Below are 19,540 nucleotides of genomic sequence, written 5' to 3'. Positions count from 1 at the left end.
TCTCTCAAAATACCTTATTGTACTGTAAGAACAACTGAAACAGTAGACAGTGAAACTGTGGGTAAGGGTGGACTACTATACCTTCTAGCAACCAACAATGACAGTGTATTTCAAGACTTTTTGGAGCTTGCCATGTATTTCATAACTGAATAGACATGGACGCACAGAATTGCCTTCCTCATTCATCACTCTCTCAGATGTCTGCATCATTGAACTTGGCCAACTCAGTTTTCCTGCAGCTTGTGTTTGGCTGTCTCTACCATTCTGTAGCTTCTCCTGTCTTTCAGTCACTCATTCTCTATTGAATTCACTGACTCCTTTTCTTCTTTCAGATCCTTTATAAATAATATTTTTAAAGAATTATTTCTCAGTCCTGAAACTGTCCCTATCAACTTTATAAAATTGATCAGGGAAGAAGGGAGGGGAGAAATGGGAATCAGCCCAGCTTGCAGCACACACAGCATTGGTCATGAGGTCAGCTGCTCTCTGACCCCTTCCTCAGAGTTGTTTGCTGCCTGTTGCCCCAGAACCACATAGACTCTGTCACAGGATCATAGTTCCTTTTCACTGCTCTGCAGATAACATTGCAGCATTGTGAAATGTTCAGTTTTCCATCTGAGATGCTGGTGAAACTACTACTGACATCAGCTGGTCTGAAGGACCCCAAGAGGAGCTGACTCACCAAAAGCATGCAGCTGCTACCTCCTGATGATTTAATCCCCCTTGTCCCGACCAATCAATGATCCTAATTTTTCAGCCCCTTGTCCTCCAAGATCCCCTTAAAAACTGTTGGCCAGGCCAGGTCCAGTGGCTTATGCCTGTAATCCCAGCAGTTTAGGATCCTGAGGTGGGTGGATCACCTGAGCCCAGGAGTTTGAGACCAGCCTGGGCAACATAGCAAGACTCCTTCTCTACTAAAAATGCAAAAATTAGTTGGGTGCAATAGTGAATACCTGTGGTCCTAAATAATCAAGAGGCTGAGGCAGGAGGATCACTTAAGCTCAGGAGGTCAAATCTGCAGTGAGCCATGATCATGCTACTGCATTCCAGACTGGACAACAGAGAAAACCTGTCTCAAACAAACAACTCTAGACCAGAACTCCTTAGGGAAATGGATGGAAGGGTTCCTTTCATTTCCTTGCTTGGCCACCCTGTGATCATTAAACTCTTTCTTTGCTGCAAACTCTGCTGTTTCAGTGTATTGGTCCTTACTGCACAGTGAGCATATGAACCTGGTGGTCCTGTAAGTCCTCTTTATTTTTCTCTGTTCATTCTTTCCATGGATAATTTAACTATTACCAATTTTAAATGTCACCTCTAAAGACACATCTACCTCTCTACCTTACTGAGCTTTTTTATAATGGAATTTTCTGTTTACTTTTCTAAGTGGACAAACAGTGCTATGCTGACAGGCAGTTGTTAGGTTTTCTGTTTTTCTGTGATGGGAGTCAGTTTTGTGTGTAAATCAGTTATAATTATATAAAGTCATGATGAACTCAAGGTCAAGTCCTTGTTTGGTCATACCAAGCTGAGAGATAACACTATTTCTGTGGGAAAACTTGATTTACTCTACACCGTGGTCTTTATGAAATATAATGTTGCACAAGGCAGACATTGAATGGAATGGGTCAGTAGTAAACCCATTTACAGCAAAAGTGAGCTTTGGAATGAAGACCCAGGCTGGCATTTTGTTGGTGCTCTTACATTGATAATTGGGCCTGGTCACTTTTCCTGGGCCCAGGGGCTGGTGCCTTTGCTTCCTGAACAGCAAAGAGTATATAGACTTCTATTTTTTTCTCCTCAAAGTCTCTGCAAGGAGCATAGACTTCCAAGGCCCAGGTTGCTAGTAGCCTCCTACCAGGAGCTAAATAAATCATCTGGCAGCCAAGCAGAGCCCAGGGCAGTGTGGCATAAGGGCATAAAGTGTGGGTTTAGGCTCCATAGGAGGGGCCCTCTGAATCTTGGGCCTACCACTCTGCCAACCCTCCACCTCCTCCAGGTTTCATGAGCTCCCACTAGCATGCTCACCACCAGGGCTATAGCAATAGCCTTGGTACCCCTGGGGCCCAGGCCGTGGTGGTTGAGGTTCACGTAGGACTCCTCCATGTTCCGAATGAAGTAGGAGACAGGCACTACACCCATCAGCTTGCAGGCCTCCAGGTACAGCTCCTTTTGTCCAGTGGTGAAAAATTTCTCATCATCTGCAGAGAAAGATGGGCTGAAGTAGGATTTCTCTTCCACCTTTGCCTTCTCTCCCCTCTAGCCCCAGTGACATTCACTCATGTCTAGACTGTCCTCTGCCAGAGGATCTCTCCCTGTGGGTATGTGCTAAGAAGCCTGCTCCTGTCTGGGAAGTCAGTCCATGGTGGGAGAGGGAGACTCTAACTCCAGAAAGTCCCAGATGAATGTTTCCCTTTGGGTAGGAGATGAGGCCCATGGTTTTAGGCCAGAAGCTTTCCTAGAAGTGAGCAGTGGGCTTCACCCCACCTGCCCAGGTTGGCCACATCCAGTGACTGGTCATCAAGGACATAGAAGGCCCAAGCCCTCTTGCCCACCTTTGGACAATTCTGAAAGGCCAAACGCGGATGACTTTTGATGGTTGATGGAATCTTCATTTCACTTTTAGTTTCACCGCCACTATCACAAGGTTGTGAGTCATGAAAAAAGCTTCACCAAAGACTTAGAGAGGCACCAACATTTAAAAAGCCCAACTAGGACAGAGTGGACTTCTCAAAATGGCAAACCAGTGAATATGGAAAGACCTCCACATCAGCGAGAAACAAGCATGCTTGCATGTGAATGGTCTTTCTTCTTTCAAAAGCTTGCATGTCATTTTCCTTATAAAAAGGACTGTCATCCTTGCTTTATTGACGACAAACCTAGCCTCAAATAACACACAGTTGGTCAATGCTAAAACCAGCTAACAGAAGTGGGGACTGCACCTTTCCATTCTAACCCCTGGGGGCCTTTATTTCTTAGGCTTTAGGCCAGCCTGGCCCATGGTCACTGGGCATCGGGCCTCCCTGGATTCTGGGTGCCCCACAGCTGTGTCCTCATTAGGCAAGTCCAGCCTATGGCAGGGCTTCCTGAGGCCAGCTGGCGTCTATGTCTGCATCTGTTTTTCCTTCAGATCCCAGGGCCTTTGGCCAACCCCCTCCCCCTCCAAACAATCTAAGGCTGACAATGGGAGCTTTGTTGGTGAAAGGACAAGTGCTTTACAGGGAAGCTGATTTTGCAAGCACAACTACAAATTAGACTTCTCTTTGGGACGCTTGTACAGCAGCGCTTCTCAGCCTCAGCACTGCAGGTATTTTGGGCTGGATAATTCTGTTCTGAGGGCTGTCCTATACATAGTAGGGTGTTTAGTAGGATCTCTGGCGTGGACCCACAAGATGCCAGTAGCAACCCCCCTCCCCTAGTTTGCCCAATGTCCCCTTGGTGCAAAATTGCTTCCAGGTGAGAACCACTGTTGTGGAGAAAAACAGCTCATGGCAAGTGAGCAAACCAGGCTCGTCTCCCCCTTTTCTCTAGACTCACAGCCAGCACTGCTCCCAGCTGGCCCATTTCCCATGCCCTCCCTGCCCATTCCCAGTGTCTCAGCACCCACAGCAGGAGCACCAGGAGCCAGGGCTGCTGAGCCCCGAGTTACCATTCAGGACAGAGTTTTTGGTGCCACATTCAGCCATTAGAGGTTCCTGTTGGCAAAAGCAGGGAAGGTAACCCCCAGGTTTTGTCCCTGGGACTAATTCTGCTGGGTTTGATGCTGACCCTTTCTAGCTGTGTTCCCTATTGTTATATTTTATGGGCAGCTTGCGACAGTGTTAGCACTTGCTGCAGTCAGGGGAAGAGATGGGGGAATGAGATAGAAACAGGACCCTTTGGCCAAACATCCAGTGTTGTCCTTTGCTACCTTCTCCAACCATGTGAATGAAGTTGGGTGTTAGAAGCAACGTTAACAACAGACTTGAAGTGGACAAGAAGCCAGAAAAAGAGCAACAAGCTGCCTGGGGGTCAGCGGGGAGGAGGTCTGCGTAGAAGGGTGAAGATGTATGTTGTATGTTGACCATGGTGGGGAGGTTTATAAACTGACTCTATGCAGATGAACTTCACAGTTTAATTTGGCAGAACTGGCCTTCCTCCATCTCTGCTGCCTGTGAATCACTGCCCACCAGCCAGCTGCAAGGATGCAGGGGAGGAAGGGTGACTGGGCTAGGCTTGGCCTGGGAAGTTTGAGGCTGACCCTGTCAGATGGAACCAGCGTCATTCTCTTGCTTCACAAGTGTTCTCTTTCGGTGCTTCCCTTCTTGGGGAAACTGGGAGGAGAGAGAGGGTGGAGGTGTTATTTGCATTAACAGAGTCTTTGTTTCAGCTCAGCCAGTCCCGATACCCAGGCATGCTTAGATTTATCAAGAAAAGTAGGGGAAACCAGAGCTCTAAGGTGAGTGTGGGAAAGTCACTGGGATGCAAGATAGGCCACAGAAACACTCCAGGGGCCTGGGATATGGAATACAGAAGGCAGAACCATCAGAGTGAGTCAAACACGGGATCAGCCAACGTGCTGGGCAAACTCCCGCTGTCCCTGGGCAATGCCTATAATCTCTTTAAGGCCCAGTTCCTCTTCTGTTGAAAACTGGCAAAGATGCCTACCTCCTAGGACTATTGCAAAGATTGCATAGGATGCCCCACGTGGAAACATTTAGAAGATTAGAAAACCTTGTTTGTGTATTGATTCCGCTTTTAACAAGACGACGTGAGGGCACTGCTCCTGAGGCAGGTGACAAGCGTGGGAAGCTGCAGCTGCTCTCCCCTGCCAGCCCGGAGGAGGACTCCAGGCAAAATCGAGCAGGCCTTTCTGCCACATTTCCTCCACAGGCCATCCGCAGGGCAGACTCTGGAAAGGAGTGAGATGACAGCTCCTGGAAACCAGATTTCTCCAGTTTCTGAGGAGAAGCTGCCCTGACTGCCCCCAAATGCCCATGCTCGCCTTCAATCTCCAGGTCTGTTTCCGAATTCTCCCGGGCTGGTTTCACTTTTTCAACAGTCGGCGGGGATTCGGCCTCACAGTAGAGCATTTTATCGCTGCTCTGTCGTACTGGCTCAATTTCAATCTCATCTGGAAGAAAAAACTCATCTCCTTGATGCCAGGAATAAAACTTGCTGGCCTCCCAATAAAGCCTGCCGCTGCCGCCCCTCCATCTCTGCTCCCTTCCTCTGAGTCCCAGGTCCTCAAGGTGCCAAGCCCTGCCAGGGCAAGTCCACTCTACAAACCTCCCTTCCCCAATAGCGCTGCCTCCGGCTGCAGGGTCTACGGGAGCTTGTGAAACCAACTCCCTTCTGCTCCCTGGAGACCGGCTGCTCCTTCCCCCTTCCCTGTCTGAGGCGTGCCTTGGAGATCGGCTCCTTGCTCACACTTTCCCATTCTTAAGTGTTTGGGTGGGTTTTGGGGTGTGCTGTTACTCTTTCAGGTGAAAGGGTGGGTCCCGATACATAGGCTTCCTTATTGTCAGGCACAAATGGTGCCAGGGAGTATAAGGGGCAGGGCAGGGCAGGGGAGGTGACAACTTAGGTCAAATAGAAAATAAAATGGACCAGGAGCAGTTCCAGAGAGCAAGAGAGAGAACTTGATTCCTAAGAATTTGACTTAGCTTCTCTTCCTTCCAATCTAACATTGATTTGTGATTAGGAAGAAGGAGGGGCTTGAAAATCTCCCTTGGGTCGAAATGAATTACTATGATTAATTCATAGTAATGAATTAATCATATTCATTGCTGGGAACAGAGCTCCCCTCACACCAGTCCTCTGCACTTGCTAGATGTGGTTTTACCACCTCTGGGCCATTGACCTGGGATCAGCCATAGGCTCCTGAAAGCCATGGGCTTCTGGAAGCCACACATAAAATCCAGAGCTCAATCCTTAGGCACTGACAGGACTCAGTAGTTTCAAGAAGCCATGCCATGCCTCTGAATGACCTGTCAGAATTTAGCCAACCTACTCATTGGGTGGGCTGAGCATTTGTGGCAGGGGTCCCAAGTTTTGACCACCCAGATTCTAGGATGGTGGGGTTCCTAATGAGTCCATGCAGGTCTTTCTTAATCCTTGTCCATAGACCCAGGTTCCAACATTTATCTCCCAGACTGTCTGGGATACACAGTGCAGGTAGCAGTGGCCTGGTAGTTAGAAGACAGACAACAGCTTGGCTGTCAGACTGCTGAGTGCCCTTAGAAAAGTGATGAATTTCTGAGTGTTAATTTCCTTGTCAAACAATTTAGAATTCCATTCAACCAGTAGAATGCTGGTAAATTTTAACAATTGATTCTCCAGGAAAAAAAACAAACAACACCAAAAACATCCTGATTTATAGTGTTAGCCAATTCATGTGGTGTAAATATTCCCAATGTGACTGATTTCAAACTATAAATGTGGTATCAACTGGCCCACACAATAAAAATTAAAGCTGGCTAGAGCCAGTATGAGGTAGTTGTGGCATAGCACTGCAGCCAATTCTTCCTGTTTGCCAAGGCCTGAACCCAAGTCAGTATAACAAATCATCCTACTTCTAGAGGGTCCCAGGTGAGGAAAGAAGTGGGCTTCAGGGTCCTGTGATCACTAGGTGTTGTACTGAGGCAGCAGGGACGGGCCTGAGTGGTGAGAGATGGGATGCCCTTTCACCTTCTGTCTCAGGCTGAAGAGGCTTGTCATTGTCCATGGTGCCAGGACCCTCTTGAGGGCAGCTGCCAACTTCTTGCCACCTCTCGACTGCTTCCCTAAGAAGCACACCTGTCCATTCACCTCTGTCTCAAACTCTGTGAACTTCCCTCACCTGGGGGCATCCCAGGGGAGCCTGCAGTTATCCTTCCCTCCCAGCAAGCCCTGGGAAGAGTAGGCTTTGATGGGAATTGGATGTGCATGAATTTGACCCCAACTCTGTCTGGGAGAGGTAGCTACTTCTCCAGCTCATCTGGGAGAGTGGGACTGCTCTATTGCTGGGAGCCCTGTTGAAAGGATCCCCACCCGCCTGTGACTTTGTGACTCAGGAGCCACTTTCATTTCATCTTCAACATTCTGTGACCTCATGCAGTCATTGTGATTCACATGGTGGACCTGGCAACAGCAGGCTTCCCGCCCTCTGGGTGGTTCTGGCAGTCACCTGTTCTCATATGTCTACTGGGGCCAAGCCCAGGCTTGGCTGTGAGTGCTCAGGTGCTGTGGGGGGTTCCTCTCAGTGGTGTTGTATTTCCCTCTGAGTCAGGACCCAACCCAAGCCCCTTAATTAGGTGACTGTGAAGAGCTGCCATCATGTTCTTCTCGCAAGAGAGCTGTGCTTCAGGTATGAAGTATTTCAGTGACGGGTGAAGTCAGTTTTCTTCTGCCCAGCTCTTCTTCCTTTTTTCTTTTCCCCGTGGGAGAGCATCTTAACCTTGGAGCTGAAGATCAAAAGCACAGCGCAATGAACATATGTCCTATCACTACAGTTTGTTGCAGCCAAAGCATTGTTCAATCCAAACTATGGGGCTGCCTACCTTGAGACGGTTCAACTAGCATTCCCACACTCGGCCATTCTCACATGTGTTGGAGTTGAAGTCCAGTTGCAGTTTGGTTTCGGGAGAATCTGGAGGCACATTTGTTCTTTCTTGATAAGTTTTCAGGACATCAATGGTCAGGTCAGTGACTGGAGGGTTTGAGGATGTGAAAATTCCTTTTTTTTTTTTTTTTTTTTGCTACTCAGAATGAGGAAGATCTAGAAATGTGTGCAAGGAAAACATGATTAGAACCATGGATCAGAAGAAATATGTATACCTGAGATGTTACTTGTTCCTTCAAGCATTCATGCTGAGAAATACATATTGAGTCTCTATTACGTACGGGCGCTAAAATAGGCACCACTGTGGGGAAGGGATGCAGACATGATTAAGACAGGACCCTTTTAAGGCATGTGCAATGCATAATAGAAATTGACAGGGCCACCCTAGGGTGAGGGTCCTGGGCAAATATTTTTGGTAGAGTTCTTGCTTGTATAAACAATTTGAGTCACCCTAAATCGGCATGGCAGCACCATTCTGGTGGCCCAATCTCATGTGGTCCTTCTAAAGAAATACCAAACAGTCCAGGGAGAGTGATCAGCTCCTAGGATGATCAGGTAGACATGAGTCCTGGTGATCCTCAGGGCATCTGGCTGGCCCACACTATTGCAGAGGATAAGGAAGCATTAAGGGGGAGAAAGAGGGATCAGAGAGCATGTGTGTCCTGGTCTAGGGCTCTGGGTGCTCTACTTGGACGGCACCATCTGGTCTCAGGTACTGAAGGGTGAGTGAGAAAATCTAGAGGTAGGTGCTCCAACTAAGCCACTGGATAGAGGCACCACCAGCCTGGATCCAACAGCAGCAGGGAAACTGAGATGGGTCTTTGGGGAAATGCGCTGGGCGTTCAGGGGAGGGTGAGGTTTCTTCATATTGGGGAACTTGCTTGGGCTCTGGACAAGTAGAGTCTGGGGAAAAGGCATTTCCAGGAGGTCAGGATGAAGGAAGGCAGCAGCTCCCCGCATAGGAGTGCAGGCTGTGAAGACGAGTAGCAGAAGGGGAGGCCACCAGGGCCAGGGCAGCTTCAGGGAGAGATCCGAATGCAATTAAAAGGCAATAGGGAGACAATGAAGATTTTTGAACAGGAGAGTGACATCATCAGATATTTTCTTTAGAATGGTTGACAGCAATATTTTTTGCATAATAGTCAATTCTGGAAAAAATAAAAATGTTTAAGGACCATAATTTTTTTTAATTCTTTTTTTTTCTTTTTTTGAGATGGAGTCTCACTCTGTCGCCCAGGCTGGAGTGCAGTGGCGCAATCTCAGCTCACTGCAAGCTCCGCCTCCCGGGTTCACGCCATTCTCCTGCCTCAGCCTCCTAAGTAGCTGGGACTACAGGCATGCGCTACCACGCCCAGCTAATTTTTTGTATTTTTAGTAGAGACAGGGTTTCATTGTGTTAGCCAGGATGGTGTCGATCTCCGGACCTCATAATCCGCCAGCCTTGGCCTCCCAAAGTGCTGGGATTACAGGTGTGAGCCACCACACCCGGCCAAAAATGTGTATTTTTTAAAAACCCTGAAATGTAATACCTGTAAACTCTTTTTATAAGTTATTATTTTTGAAAATTTCTGTATTATTAAAGGGTATCTTTTTTTTTTTTTTTTTTGAGATGGAGTCTTGCTCTGTCTGTTGCCCAGGCTGGAGTGCAATGGCATGATCTTGGCTCACTGCAACCTCTGCCTCCTAAGTTCAAGCAATTATCCTGCCTCAGCCTCCCAAGTAGCTGGGATTACAGGCGCATACCACCACGTCTGGCTAATTTTTCATATTTTTAGTAGAGACAGGGTTTCACCATATTGGCCAGGCTGGTCAAGTGATCCGCCAGCCTCAACCTTCCAAAGTGCTAGGATTACAGGCGTAAGCCACCGTGCCCAGCCACTTTTTATTATTTTTTTTTTTTTGAGACAGACTTTCGTTTTATTGCCCATGCTGGAGTGCAATGGCACCATCTTGGCTCACCACAACCTCTGCCTCCCAGGTTCAAGCGATTCTCCTGCCTCAGCCTCCTGTGTAGCTGGGATTACCGGCATGCACCACCACATCTGGCTAATTTTGTATTTTTAGTAGAGATGGGGTTTCTTCATGTTGGTCAGGCTGGTTTGAACTCCCAACCTCAGGTGATATGCCCGCCTTGGCCTCCCAAAGTGCTGGGGTTACAGGTGTGAGCCACCATGCCTGACCCCAGCCACATTTTTTAAAATTAATCTTTTTATTTTGAAATAATTTTAGATAACAGAATTACAAATATAACAGAGTTCCCATTTACTCTTCACTCAGCTTCACCTTATGTTAACGTCTATAACCATGGAAAAATGATCAAAACTAAGTTAGTATCAGTACAATGCTATTAATTAAACTACAGACTATATTTGTATTTTACTAGTTTTCCCATTAATGTCCTTCTTTGGTGCCAGGATGCCATATTACATTCGTTATTGTGGCTCTGTTGATCTCCTCCAACCTGTGACATTTCCTTAGTCTTTCTTTTGTCTTTCATGACCTGGACACTTTCAAAGAGTACTGGTCAGATATTTAGAATGTCCCCAATTTTGGTTTGGCTGATGTTTTTGTCATGATTATTGGGAAGGGTGCCACATAGTTGATGTACCCTTCTTGGTGTGTGTCAGCAGTACGTGATGTCAAGATGTATTATATTGATCACTTGGTCAAGGTGGTATCTGCCAGCTTTTGCTACAGTAAAGTTGCTATTTTTCCTTTTTTACAGAATACAGACTTAGATACTTCAAGACTCTGCAAATATCCTCTTTCTGCTTAAATTTTTGCCCACTAATGTTAGCATCTATTAATGGATCGTGCCTCAACAATTACTGTGGTGTTCTCATGGTGATTTTCTGTATTCGCAATCCTTTTGCATTTATCAACTGGAATTTTTCTATAGGAGTTGCCCCTCTCTGCTACTTGTTTATTCAGTTGTTTGTATCTATAGGGACTCAGGTTTATTTTATTCCTTGGGTTACAATACAATACTATCATTTATTTTACTGTTCAAGTTCCAACTTTGGCCATTGAGAGTTCCTTCAGGTGGGCTCCTGTGCCCTTTTGTTTTTTTTTTTTTTTTTTTTTTTAATTTTTATTTTTTTTATTGATCATTCTTGGGTGTTTCTCGCAGAGGGGGATTTGGCAGGGTCATAGGACAATAGTGGAGGGAAGGTTGGCAGATAAACAAGTGAACAAAGGTCTCTGGTTTTCCTAGGCAGAGGACCCTGCGGCCTTCCGCAGTGTTTGTGTCCCTGGGTACTTGAGATTAGGGAGTGGTGATGATTCTTAACGAGCATGCTGCCTTTCAAGCATCTGTTTAACAAAGCACATCTTGCACCGCCCTTAATCCATTTAACCCTGAGTGGACAGAGCACATGTTTCAGAGAGCACAGGGTTGGGGGTAAGGTCACCGATCAACAGGATCCCAAGGCAGAAGAATTTATCTTAGTACAGAACAAAATGAAAAGTCTCCCATGTCTACTTCTTTCTACACAGACACGGCAACCATCCGATTTCTCAATCTTTTCCCCACCTTTTCCCCCTTTCTATTCCACAAAACCGCCATTGTCATCCCGGCCCGTTCTCAATGAGCTGTTGGGTACACCTCCCAGACGAGGTGGTGGCTGGGCAGAGGGGCTCCTCACTTCCTAGTAGGGGTGGCCGGGCAGAGGCGCCCCTCACCTCCCAGACGGGGCGGCTGTCCGGGCGGGGGGCTGACCCCCCCACCTCCCTCCTGGACAGGGCGGCTGGCCGGGCGGGGGGCTGACCCCCCCACCTCCCTCCCGGACGGGGCGGCTGGCCGGGCAGAGGGGCTCCTCACTTCCCAGTAGGGGCGGCTGGGCAGAGGCGCCCCTCACCTCCCGGACGGGGCGTCTGGCCGGGCGGGGGGCTGACCCCCCCACCTCCCTCCCGGACGGGGCGGCTGGCCGGGCGGGGTGCTGATCCCCCCACCTCCCTCCTGGACGGGGCGGCTGGCCGGGCGGGGGGCTGACCCCCCCACCTCCCTCCCGGACGGGGCGGCTGGCCCAGCAGAGGGGCTCCTCACTTCCCAGTAGGGGCGGCTGGGCAGAGGCGCCCCTCACCTCCCGGACGGGGCGTCTGGCCGGGCGGGGGGCTGACCCCCCCACCTCCCTCCCGGACGGGGCGGCTGGCCGGGCGGGGGGCTGACCCCCCCACCTCCCTCCCGGATGGGGCGGCTGGCCGGGCGGGGGGCTGACCACCCCCACCTCCCTCCCGGACGGGGCGGCTGTCCTGTGCCCTTTTGACATCCTCCTTCCCCTTTTTTTGAGCCCTCCCTCACTCTCTGGAGTCACAGAAATTACTTTTCTGGGCAGGCGTGGTGGCGCATGCCTGTAATCCCAGAACTTTGGAAGGCTGAGGCAGGAGGATCACCTGAAGTCAGGAGTTCGAGACCAGCCTGGCCAACATGGCAAAACCCTATCTTAGCTAGGTGTGGTGGCACGTGCCTGTAGTCCCAGCTACTCAAGACGCTGAAGCACAAGAATCAGTTGAACCCGGGAGGCGGAGGTTGCAATGAGCAGAGATCTCTCCATGGCACTCTAGCCTGGGTGACAGTGAGACTTTATCAAAAAAAAAAAAAAAAAAAAAAAAGGAAGAAGTTATCTCTCCAAGGAGAATTATATTTGGAAACCTAGATCTGGAAGCTTGTGCATTCATCACCATGTGGGTATCACTACTTCTAGACTTTTTGGTGAACAGAGCTAGGAAATGTGTGTGTGTGCATGTAAACTAATCCACCCATAACACACATATATATTTATTTCCATACCAGTCTATCTATATATGTACATTGAACAAAAACCATCTATAATGATGCCTCGATCCCCAGCCTAGCACTACATGACTCATTCATGCCTTCTCCTTTTTCATATTTGTCATTTCTTTCTCCTGGCCAGAAACCTGGCTCTTGTTTTCTACCATATATCTGCTTATTTGTTCATCTCTAATATATATACATAATTAGTTTCGGAATTGCTAAGCCATAGTCCTAGAAACAAATTTACTAACTAGAGCATGGTGTCAGTATATAAGTTGTGGTTGTTTATCCTTGTGGTAGCCAGTCAAAATACTTTTTTCCCCAGTTATTTAGGTCAACTCTTTCTTCCCACCCGCTTCAGTGGGTTATTTAATTCACTTGTAATACAGTTAGATTCATTTGTCAGAGTCTGCATTTCATCTTTCCCCAATATCCTGGTTGATTTTATTGTGGCTGACATATGGCAGAATTCATTCTTTGTGGTGTACAGTTCTACATGTTTTGACAAATCCATGAAGTCACATATCCACCACCACAGTCCAATTCAAAAGAGTTCCATCACCCTCAACAGCCTCTCATGCTGCCTCCTTTACCCCTCGTCCCTCCCTGTCTGCTGGAAACCAGTCTTCTCTTTTCTATCCTAATAGTTTTGCCTTTCCTAAATTATATTAATGAGGCCATACAATGTGTAGTTTTTTGAACTAGTTTCTTTCATTTAACAAAATGCATTTAAGAGTCATCCATGTTGCTGCAGAGTTCCTTTTTATGGCAGAGTAATAGTCTGTTACAGAGATGTACCACACTTTGCTTATGCATTCACCTGCTGAAAGACATCTTCATATTTTCCACTTTTTTGGTGATTATGAATAAAATGGCTATCAACATTCATGTGCAGGTTTTTGTGTGAACATGAGCTTTCTTCTCTCTTGAGTAAATACTTAGGAGTGGGATTGCTGTGGACTCATTTCTTTCCTTTTCTTTTTTTCTTTTCTTTTTTTTTTTTTTGAGACAGAGTCTTGCTCTGTCGCCTAGGCTAGAGTGCGGTAGTGCAATCTTGGTTCACTGCAACCTCCGCCTCCCAGATTCAGGCGATTCTCCTGCCTCAGCCTCCTGAGTAGCTGGGATTACAGGTGTGTGCCACCATGCCTGGCAAATTTTTGTATTTTTAGTAGAGACAGGGTTTCACCATGTTGGCCAGGCTGGTCTTGAATTCCTGACCTCAGGTGATCCACCCGCTTCAGCCTCCCAAAGTGCTGGGATTACAGGAGTGAACCACTATGCCCAAACGTGTATGCCCATTTTGAATTCCCACCAGGAATGTATGACAGCATCAGTTGCTCCACATCCTTGCCAATATTTACCATTTCCAGTTTTTGGTTTTGTTCTTCCATTCTAGTAAGTGTGTAGTGGTATTTCATGATGGTTTTAATTTGCATTTCCCCAATGATTAATGATGTTGAGCATCCTTTCGCATGCTTACTTGCCATTTATATATTTCCTTTGTTCTTGGTTCAGATCTTTTGCTCATTTCATTTTATTTACTATTTTTTTTGAGATGGAATTTCGCTCTTGTTGCTCAGGCTACAGTGCAATGGTGCGATCTTGGCTCACCACAACCTCCACCTCCTGGGTTCAAGCAATTCTCCTGCCTCAGCCTCCCGAGTAGCTGGGATTACAGGCATGCACCACCACGCCTGGCTAATTTTGTATTTTTAGTAGAGATGGGGTTTCTCCATGTTGGTCAGGCTGGTCTCGAACTCCCGACCTCAGGTGGTCTGCCCGCCTCAGCCTCCTAAAGTGCTGGGATTACAGGTGTGAGCCACCGCGCCTGGCCCTTTTACTCGTTTTAAGTTGGGTTGTTTATTTTTTTATTGCTGAGTTTGGCAAATTCTTGATATATTCTGGAAATAAGTCTTTTGTCAGAAATGGGATTTGCAAATATTTTCTCTCAGTCTGTGGCTTGTCTTCTCATTCGCTTAACAATGTCTTTCACAGAGTAAAAGTTTTAATTTTAATAAAGCCAAATTTTGTCAAAATTATACAAATATTATCTTTTTTTTCCTATTATGGATCACATTTTTGGTGTCATATCTAAAAATTATTTGCCTACCCCAAGGTCATGCGGATTTTCTCCTGTTTTGCTCTAGAATTTTTATAGTTTTGGCTTTTGCATTTAGGTTTATGATCCATTTAATTTTTTTATTGTGGTGAAACATGCATGATAAAATTTGCCATTTTAACCATTAAATTTAACATTTTAAAGTGTACAATTCAGTGAGTTTAAGTATATGCACAATGTTGTGCAACCATCACCCCTATCTATTTCCAGAACTTTTCCCGTGACCCATTTTGAGCTAGTTTTTGTATAAGGTGTGAAGTTATAGGTTGAGATTCATTTGTTTCACTTGTGGACGTTCAATTGTTCCATCGCCATTTATTGAAAAGACTATTCTTTTGCCATTTAATTGTCTTTTGACCATTGTTGAAAATCAGCTGAATTTGTACCTTTTCAATTTTGTTGTGGGGCTAGTATTTCAGAAACCACATAACCAGCATGTGCTGTACCCTCTGATTAAACTGTTGTGCTTTTGAACTACTGGTTTGTGAGGTAAGCCATCATGGTACTGAGAGGTGGGTCTGAAAGCAGTTAGGGGTGGGAGGTGCATTGACTGTACAGTTAATCCAAGGAGCTTGGCTGACATTTTGAGGACAGTGGGAGTTTGCACTAAAAGGTCTTAGGCAGCAGTGACCTGATACGATTCACACAGTGGAAAGATTGCTCTGGCTACAGTGTGGAAAATGGATCGAGGTAGGGGAGAATCAACACTAGTCAGGAGTGGCTGGAGGAAGTGGACCCATTGAATAAATACAAAGAAGGCCAAACCACATGGATCTGGGAATCAATCAGATATATAAGAGAAAGCAGAGAAGAAAAAAGCGGGGGCCAGGATAGCTCAGTACATGGCTGTGCAACTCCTAAAGGAGAGAACAAAGGAGCTGGGGCAGGGGTCTTTTGGAGGATGGTGGCGGGGAGGTGATGAGTACAGCTTTGACTGGGTTGAGTCTTTGAGTTGTCGCTGGAGTGCCCACTGGGAGAGGTCCACAGGCAAAAAGATTTATGGGTCTGTGACCCAGGAAAAGGATTTGGGTTAAAAATGTAGATGTGTGAGTTGTCAGCATATGGATGGTATTTGAAGCCATTGGAGTGGTGAGACTTTCTCAAGAAGGGACAGTGGAGTAAGAGGAGGGGAGAGGCCAAAGGAGAAATCCTAGGAACATCATCAGGAAAAGGGTGGTGGTGAGAGGAACAGAAGTGAAGGATACAAGGATAGGACATCCACCAAGACAAGCGGAAAACAAGAATGTCACAGAAACCGAGGGAAGAGAATCTTACAAGAAGGGGGAAGTTATGCAAAATTACAGAATATTCAAGAAATAATAATGCCTAGGGCGTGTTCTTTCTGCAGGACCCTACTATCCTCAACAAGGAAAGCATCAGGAACAGTGAGGAGGGAGTTTTGGTGGTGTAATGGTGGTGGAAGCTATATCTCAGTGGAATGAGCATGAATAAGAGTGAGGAATTGTAGACAGCAGCTGCAGACAACTCTTGCAAGAAGATTGGCTGTGAGAGGTGGGAACGCAGGGGCTAGCTGGAGGGGACCTGGCACTGAAGGAGGGCTTCTTGACAGGAGTGACTTGAGCATGCTTAAATGTTGATGACAAGGGGTCAGTGAAGGAAAGGAGAGGGGTAGTAGAAGGAACATCATCTCAGAGGAAGGGGGAGGGGGTCCGGAGCATGGTGGAAGTGCCAACTGCTGTGTTGGGAGAAGAGGAAAAGGTGGTTAGAGATGCTGGTCAATGCATTGTTGTGGCAACAGGGAGTAGAGAATTTACACTTGGTGGCTCTATTTTTTTCTCTAAAGTTGATGGGGAGATAATCTCCTAAGAGCAAGAAGGGAGGCAATAGGGCAGAAAGTTTGAGAAGAATAATCATTGTGAGAATGGGAGAGAAAGCTAATTAAAGAGCATAGAATTGCTGGGGAGGGTTGCGAGCAGAAGAGAGGTTGGAGACTAGCACACTAATGGCCTCAATCTTTGGGGTTGGTAATTTTATTCATTGTTGCTCAGCAGCCCAGATGTAAGAGCCAAGAAGAATAGTTTTACTGACCCACGCAGATATAATCTAAGAACAGTGGGCAGGAGAGTTGATGATATTGGGAAGAGTGATTTAAAAGAGGGGTCATGGGAATTCCATGTTGGATAGGGAAAGAAATGATGACTGAGGGAAAGCTTGAGAAGGACAGACTAGAGAAATCAAGGGTCTGATGGAGTTAAAAGAAAAGATGAAGTAGAAGTGGGAGAGGCAGAAAGCCATGAGAAAGCCATGCCATCAGAGTGGGTGTGTGAATTTATGATTTCAGACGGGAAACAGTGCCCAGTAATGACATATCCAAGGTGCAGCCAGGGAAGGGTGTGTCTGAAGCACATGGAAATGAAGGTCATTAAGGAGGTCATGGCAATGAGCTTCCAGGGGTTAGGATGGCTCATCCACACTGGTGACAGGAGGACTAGAGGTAGGGAAGAAGACTGTGAGTCCAGGGCTGAAGTTTCAAGGAATCGAGGAGTGGGCAGGAGGTCAAGGAAAGTCAAGGGTGAGGTTGGGGTAAACATTGATGACTGCCTGATAAATCTCTAATGAACACATGGATGCATGAATCAGTGAATAAGTGAGCAAATGAATGCATTAATTCAGACTAATCTGGCACATTCTGGGAATGCCTAGTCATAAATCTTGAGATTCCCAAAGAAAACACCAGGCTCAGAGAAGGCAGATTACTAGGAGTGTAGAGGCCTCAGGTTATCGTAAGAGTTGAAGATGAGCAAATCTTTTCAGCCTATCCTATCTGAGAAGCTGTTTGCACTCTCCAGAACAGCCCATGTTCAGTACGGTAGCTATTAGCTCCTTGCAGTATTCAGAACCTGAAATACGGCTAGTCCAAATTCAGATGTGATGTCCAAGTAAAATACACACTGGATTTTGAAGACTTAGTACAAAAAAAGAACATAAAATATCTCATCTTGAACTATTGATTACAAGTTAAAATACAAAATTTTTGGATCTATGGGGTAAAATAAAATATTATTAATTAATTTCACTTGCTTTATCAATTGATTTATTTTTACTTTTTACATGAGGCTACTAGAAAATTTTAAATTGCATATGTGGTTCACAACATATTTCTTTTGGGCAGCACTGTCCCAGGCGTTGGTCCGTAGCCTCTGTAATCCTGAAGAAAGCACTATGCCGCCCCAATATTTGCACATGTTCAACCAATAAGTTAATAAATGCAGCCACTCTGTTGGAATTCCACATATATTTGTTGTCATAAGTAAAATTTTAGCCCTCAAGGGCTTAAATTTCTTATAGACTGGAAATGTCCCTTTAAGAGAGCATCTTAAGTCTCTCAAAGTATTGCAAAACCTCCCACTTGCTCCATTACATAGGTTCTGCACCCTGGAAACCATGGTAGTGATGGATGCAGGTGCTCATACTTGTCTTCATTGTTAGCACAGCTGGAATGAATTGAGGGAATCGTCTCTCTTCTTGGGATATTTCTGAAACAATGAGGCTGGAGACTGTGCAGATTGCACTTGTAATTTTCCTCTGACTGGGGAAGCCTAAGGCTCCACTCCTTCGGCCAAGTCTCCTTGGAACCTGTAGTTATTGGCTTGCTTAGTAATACTCATTACAATTTGGAGGGCAGGAGCTCTATTTTAGCCAGAAATTGTGGAAGAAGATCCTACATCAGCCACGTCTGGAGCTGCTTTTCTGCCCAAATCCAAAAATGTAATAGTAAACATTGAGAGTTTATACTGGGTCAGGCACAATGAGGAAACTGAGGCCCCAAGAGCTTAGGCAACCTGAGAGATTCCACAGGTAAAAAGTGGCAGAGCCAGGATTTCAACTCAGTTGGTCTAACTCCAAAGCTTGTGATCCTTATATCACCCTACACCTTCCAACACGGCTGATTATGGACCAGGAAACAAAAAGAGGGAAGCCTCACTTAACTGGCCGCAGAAAAAGCCTCTGAAAGAACATAGATCAGTTGGGCTGACACATTGTGCCCACACTGTGCACTGAACAGCCCAGTTGAGACTGGATCCTTTAGCAGAGGTTCCCAAACCGTGCATTGGAATAAGTAAGTGTTTAAGGGCCTCATTCCAGGGCTGCTAAATCAGAACTCTGGGAGTAGGGCCTAGAAATTTGTATTTTGAAAGCATTTTCCCAGTGGAGATAAGGGAACCGTTACCCTTGATTAGGATCTGATTTGGAACTTGGACTTCTGGATAACTCATGGTACAAAATGGAAGGAGGGTACAAGGAGGGTTTTACTTAAGCTACATCAAAGGAGGGGGCCTGACCTCGGGAGCGCCTTTGGTAGATCCACCATTTGTGCACTAATTTCTAAGCAGCTTCCCAACCTTCAGATTGCTGGGCCTCTGTTTCATCTCAAAGGGATAAGTGCTGTTGCCTGAAGGCAGGCAGACATTGCCACCTCTAGAACTAAGGGTAAGTAGTGGGAAGGCCACAATACTAACTCTCTCCTTCTTCCTCCTATTAGCCTTTCAGTGTTATGATGTACCCAGCTGGTCCAGGATCTGGTGACTCCCCAGAAGGCTTCCCTGAACAACCAAGGCTCCAGCCACAAACTGGAAATCGTGCAACTCAGACACTGGGTACTGAAACTGGGTGCATTGTCCAGTCCCTCCTTCAGAGCCTGTTTGGGGTAGAAGATTGGGGGAGGGGGACTGGGGAAGAGAGACTCAAAGAGGTCGCAGGTGGCACAGAAGTGATGGCAGAACTGGCCTTCATTTAGTGACATATGCTTTGTTCAACCAGTCAGTAAAGGCTTATGTGGTGGCTAGTAGTGCTAGCGAATGCAGATTCGGCCGCTTGCAAAACCAACGAGCAAGGTCGTGGTATGGTAGAAGGAGACTGACTTTATTATAAACCAAAGCTAGCAGTGGGGAAAAACGATCCAGGCTTTTGCTTTAATGGAGCTGCTTCACATTTCCAAGCAAAATGCGAGGCTTTAAGAAGTTTTGGCATGGAGGGTATGCAAGGGGTGAGGCAGTGCAGGTCTTCATGACGAGTTCTGATGACTTGTCTTGAGTTACTG

General features: G+C 46.5%; 1 protein-coding gene across 13 annotated transcripts in view, besides 3 other annotated features; it reads right to left on the bottom strand.

Moving 5' to 3' along the window:
- Positions 1-6,996, bottom strand: part of LRRC74A (leucine rich repeat containing 74A) — a 43,897-nt gene extending 36,901 nt beyond the window's left edge. For 7 of the 13 annotated variants that reach the window (XM_017021035.3, NM_001385106.1, XM_047431012.1 and 4 more), the window contains exons 1-3: positions 6,670-6,996; positions 4,985-5,113; positions 2,029-2,201 (exon numbers count right to left, since the gene is read on the bottom strand). In XM_017021035.3, the coding sequence (XP_016876524.1) occupies positions 2,029-2,201; positions 4,985-5,113; positions 6,670-6,706 (339 nt within the window). In that variant the 5' untranslated portion in view covers positions 6,707-6,996. Of the gene's footprint in view, positions 1-2,028; positions 2,202-4,240; positions 4,314-4,647; positions 4,899-4,984; positions 5,114-6,554; positions 6,644-6,669 lie in introns of those variants that run through there. The other 6 variants (NR_169573.1, NM_194287.3, NR_169572.1 and 3 more) reach the window with 5 other exon arrangements.
- Positions 424-718: a silencer, noted in NCBI's record as "tiled region #2360; HepG2 Repressive DNase matched - State 5:Enh". NCBI's record gives its function as "represses a minimal TATA promoter and a strong SV40 promoter by Sharpr-MPRA in HepG2 cells {active_cell/tissue: HepG2}" and the evidence as "EXISTENCE:reporter gene assay evidence [ECO:0000049][PMID:27701403]".
- Positions 4,385-5,072: an enhancer, noted in NCBI's record as "H3K4me1 hESC enhancer chr14:77294675-77295362 (GRCh37/hg19 assembly coordinates)". NCBI's record gives its function as "activates a minimal SCP1, AML or CMV promoter by ChIP-STARR-seq in naive H9 embryonic stem cells {active_cell/tissue: H9 hESC(naive)}" and the evidence as "EXISTENCE:reporter gene assay evidence [ECO:0000049][PMID:30033119]".
- Positions 10,590-11,370: an enhancer, noted in NCBI's record as "NANOG-H3K27ac hESC enhancer chr14:77288377-77289157 (GRCh37/hg19 assembly coordinates)". NCBI's record gives its function as "activates a minimal SCP1, AML or CMV promoter by ChIP-STARR-seq in naive H9 embryonic stem cells {active_cell/tissue: H9 hESC(naive)}" and the evidence as "EXISTENCE:reporter gene assay evidence [ECO:0000049][PMID:30033119]".

The sequence above is a fragment of the Homo sapiens genome, chromosome 14, assembly GCF_000001405.40.
Source record: "Homo sapiens chromosome 14, GRCh38.p14 Primary Assembly".
In the NCBI taxonomy this organism is placed as follows: domain Eukaryota; kingdom Metazoa; phylum Chordata; class Mammalia; order Primates; family Hominidae; genus Homo; species Homo sapiens.
Note: the sequence above shows the minus strand (reverse complement) of the source record. Positions and strands in the feature narration are given on the sequence as shown.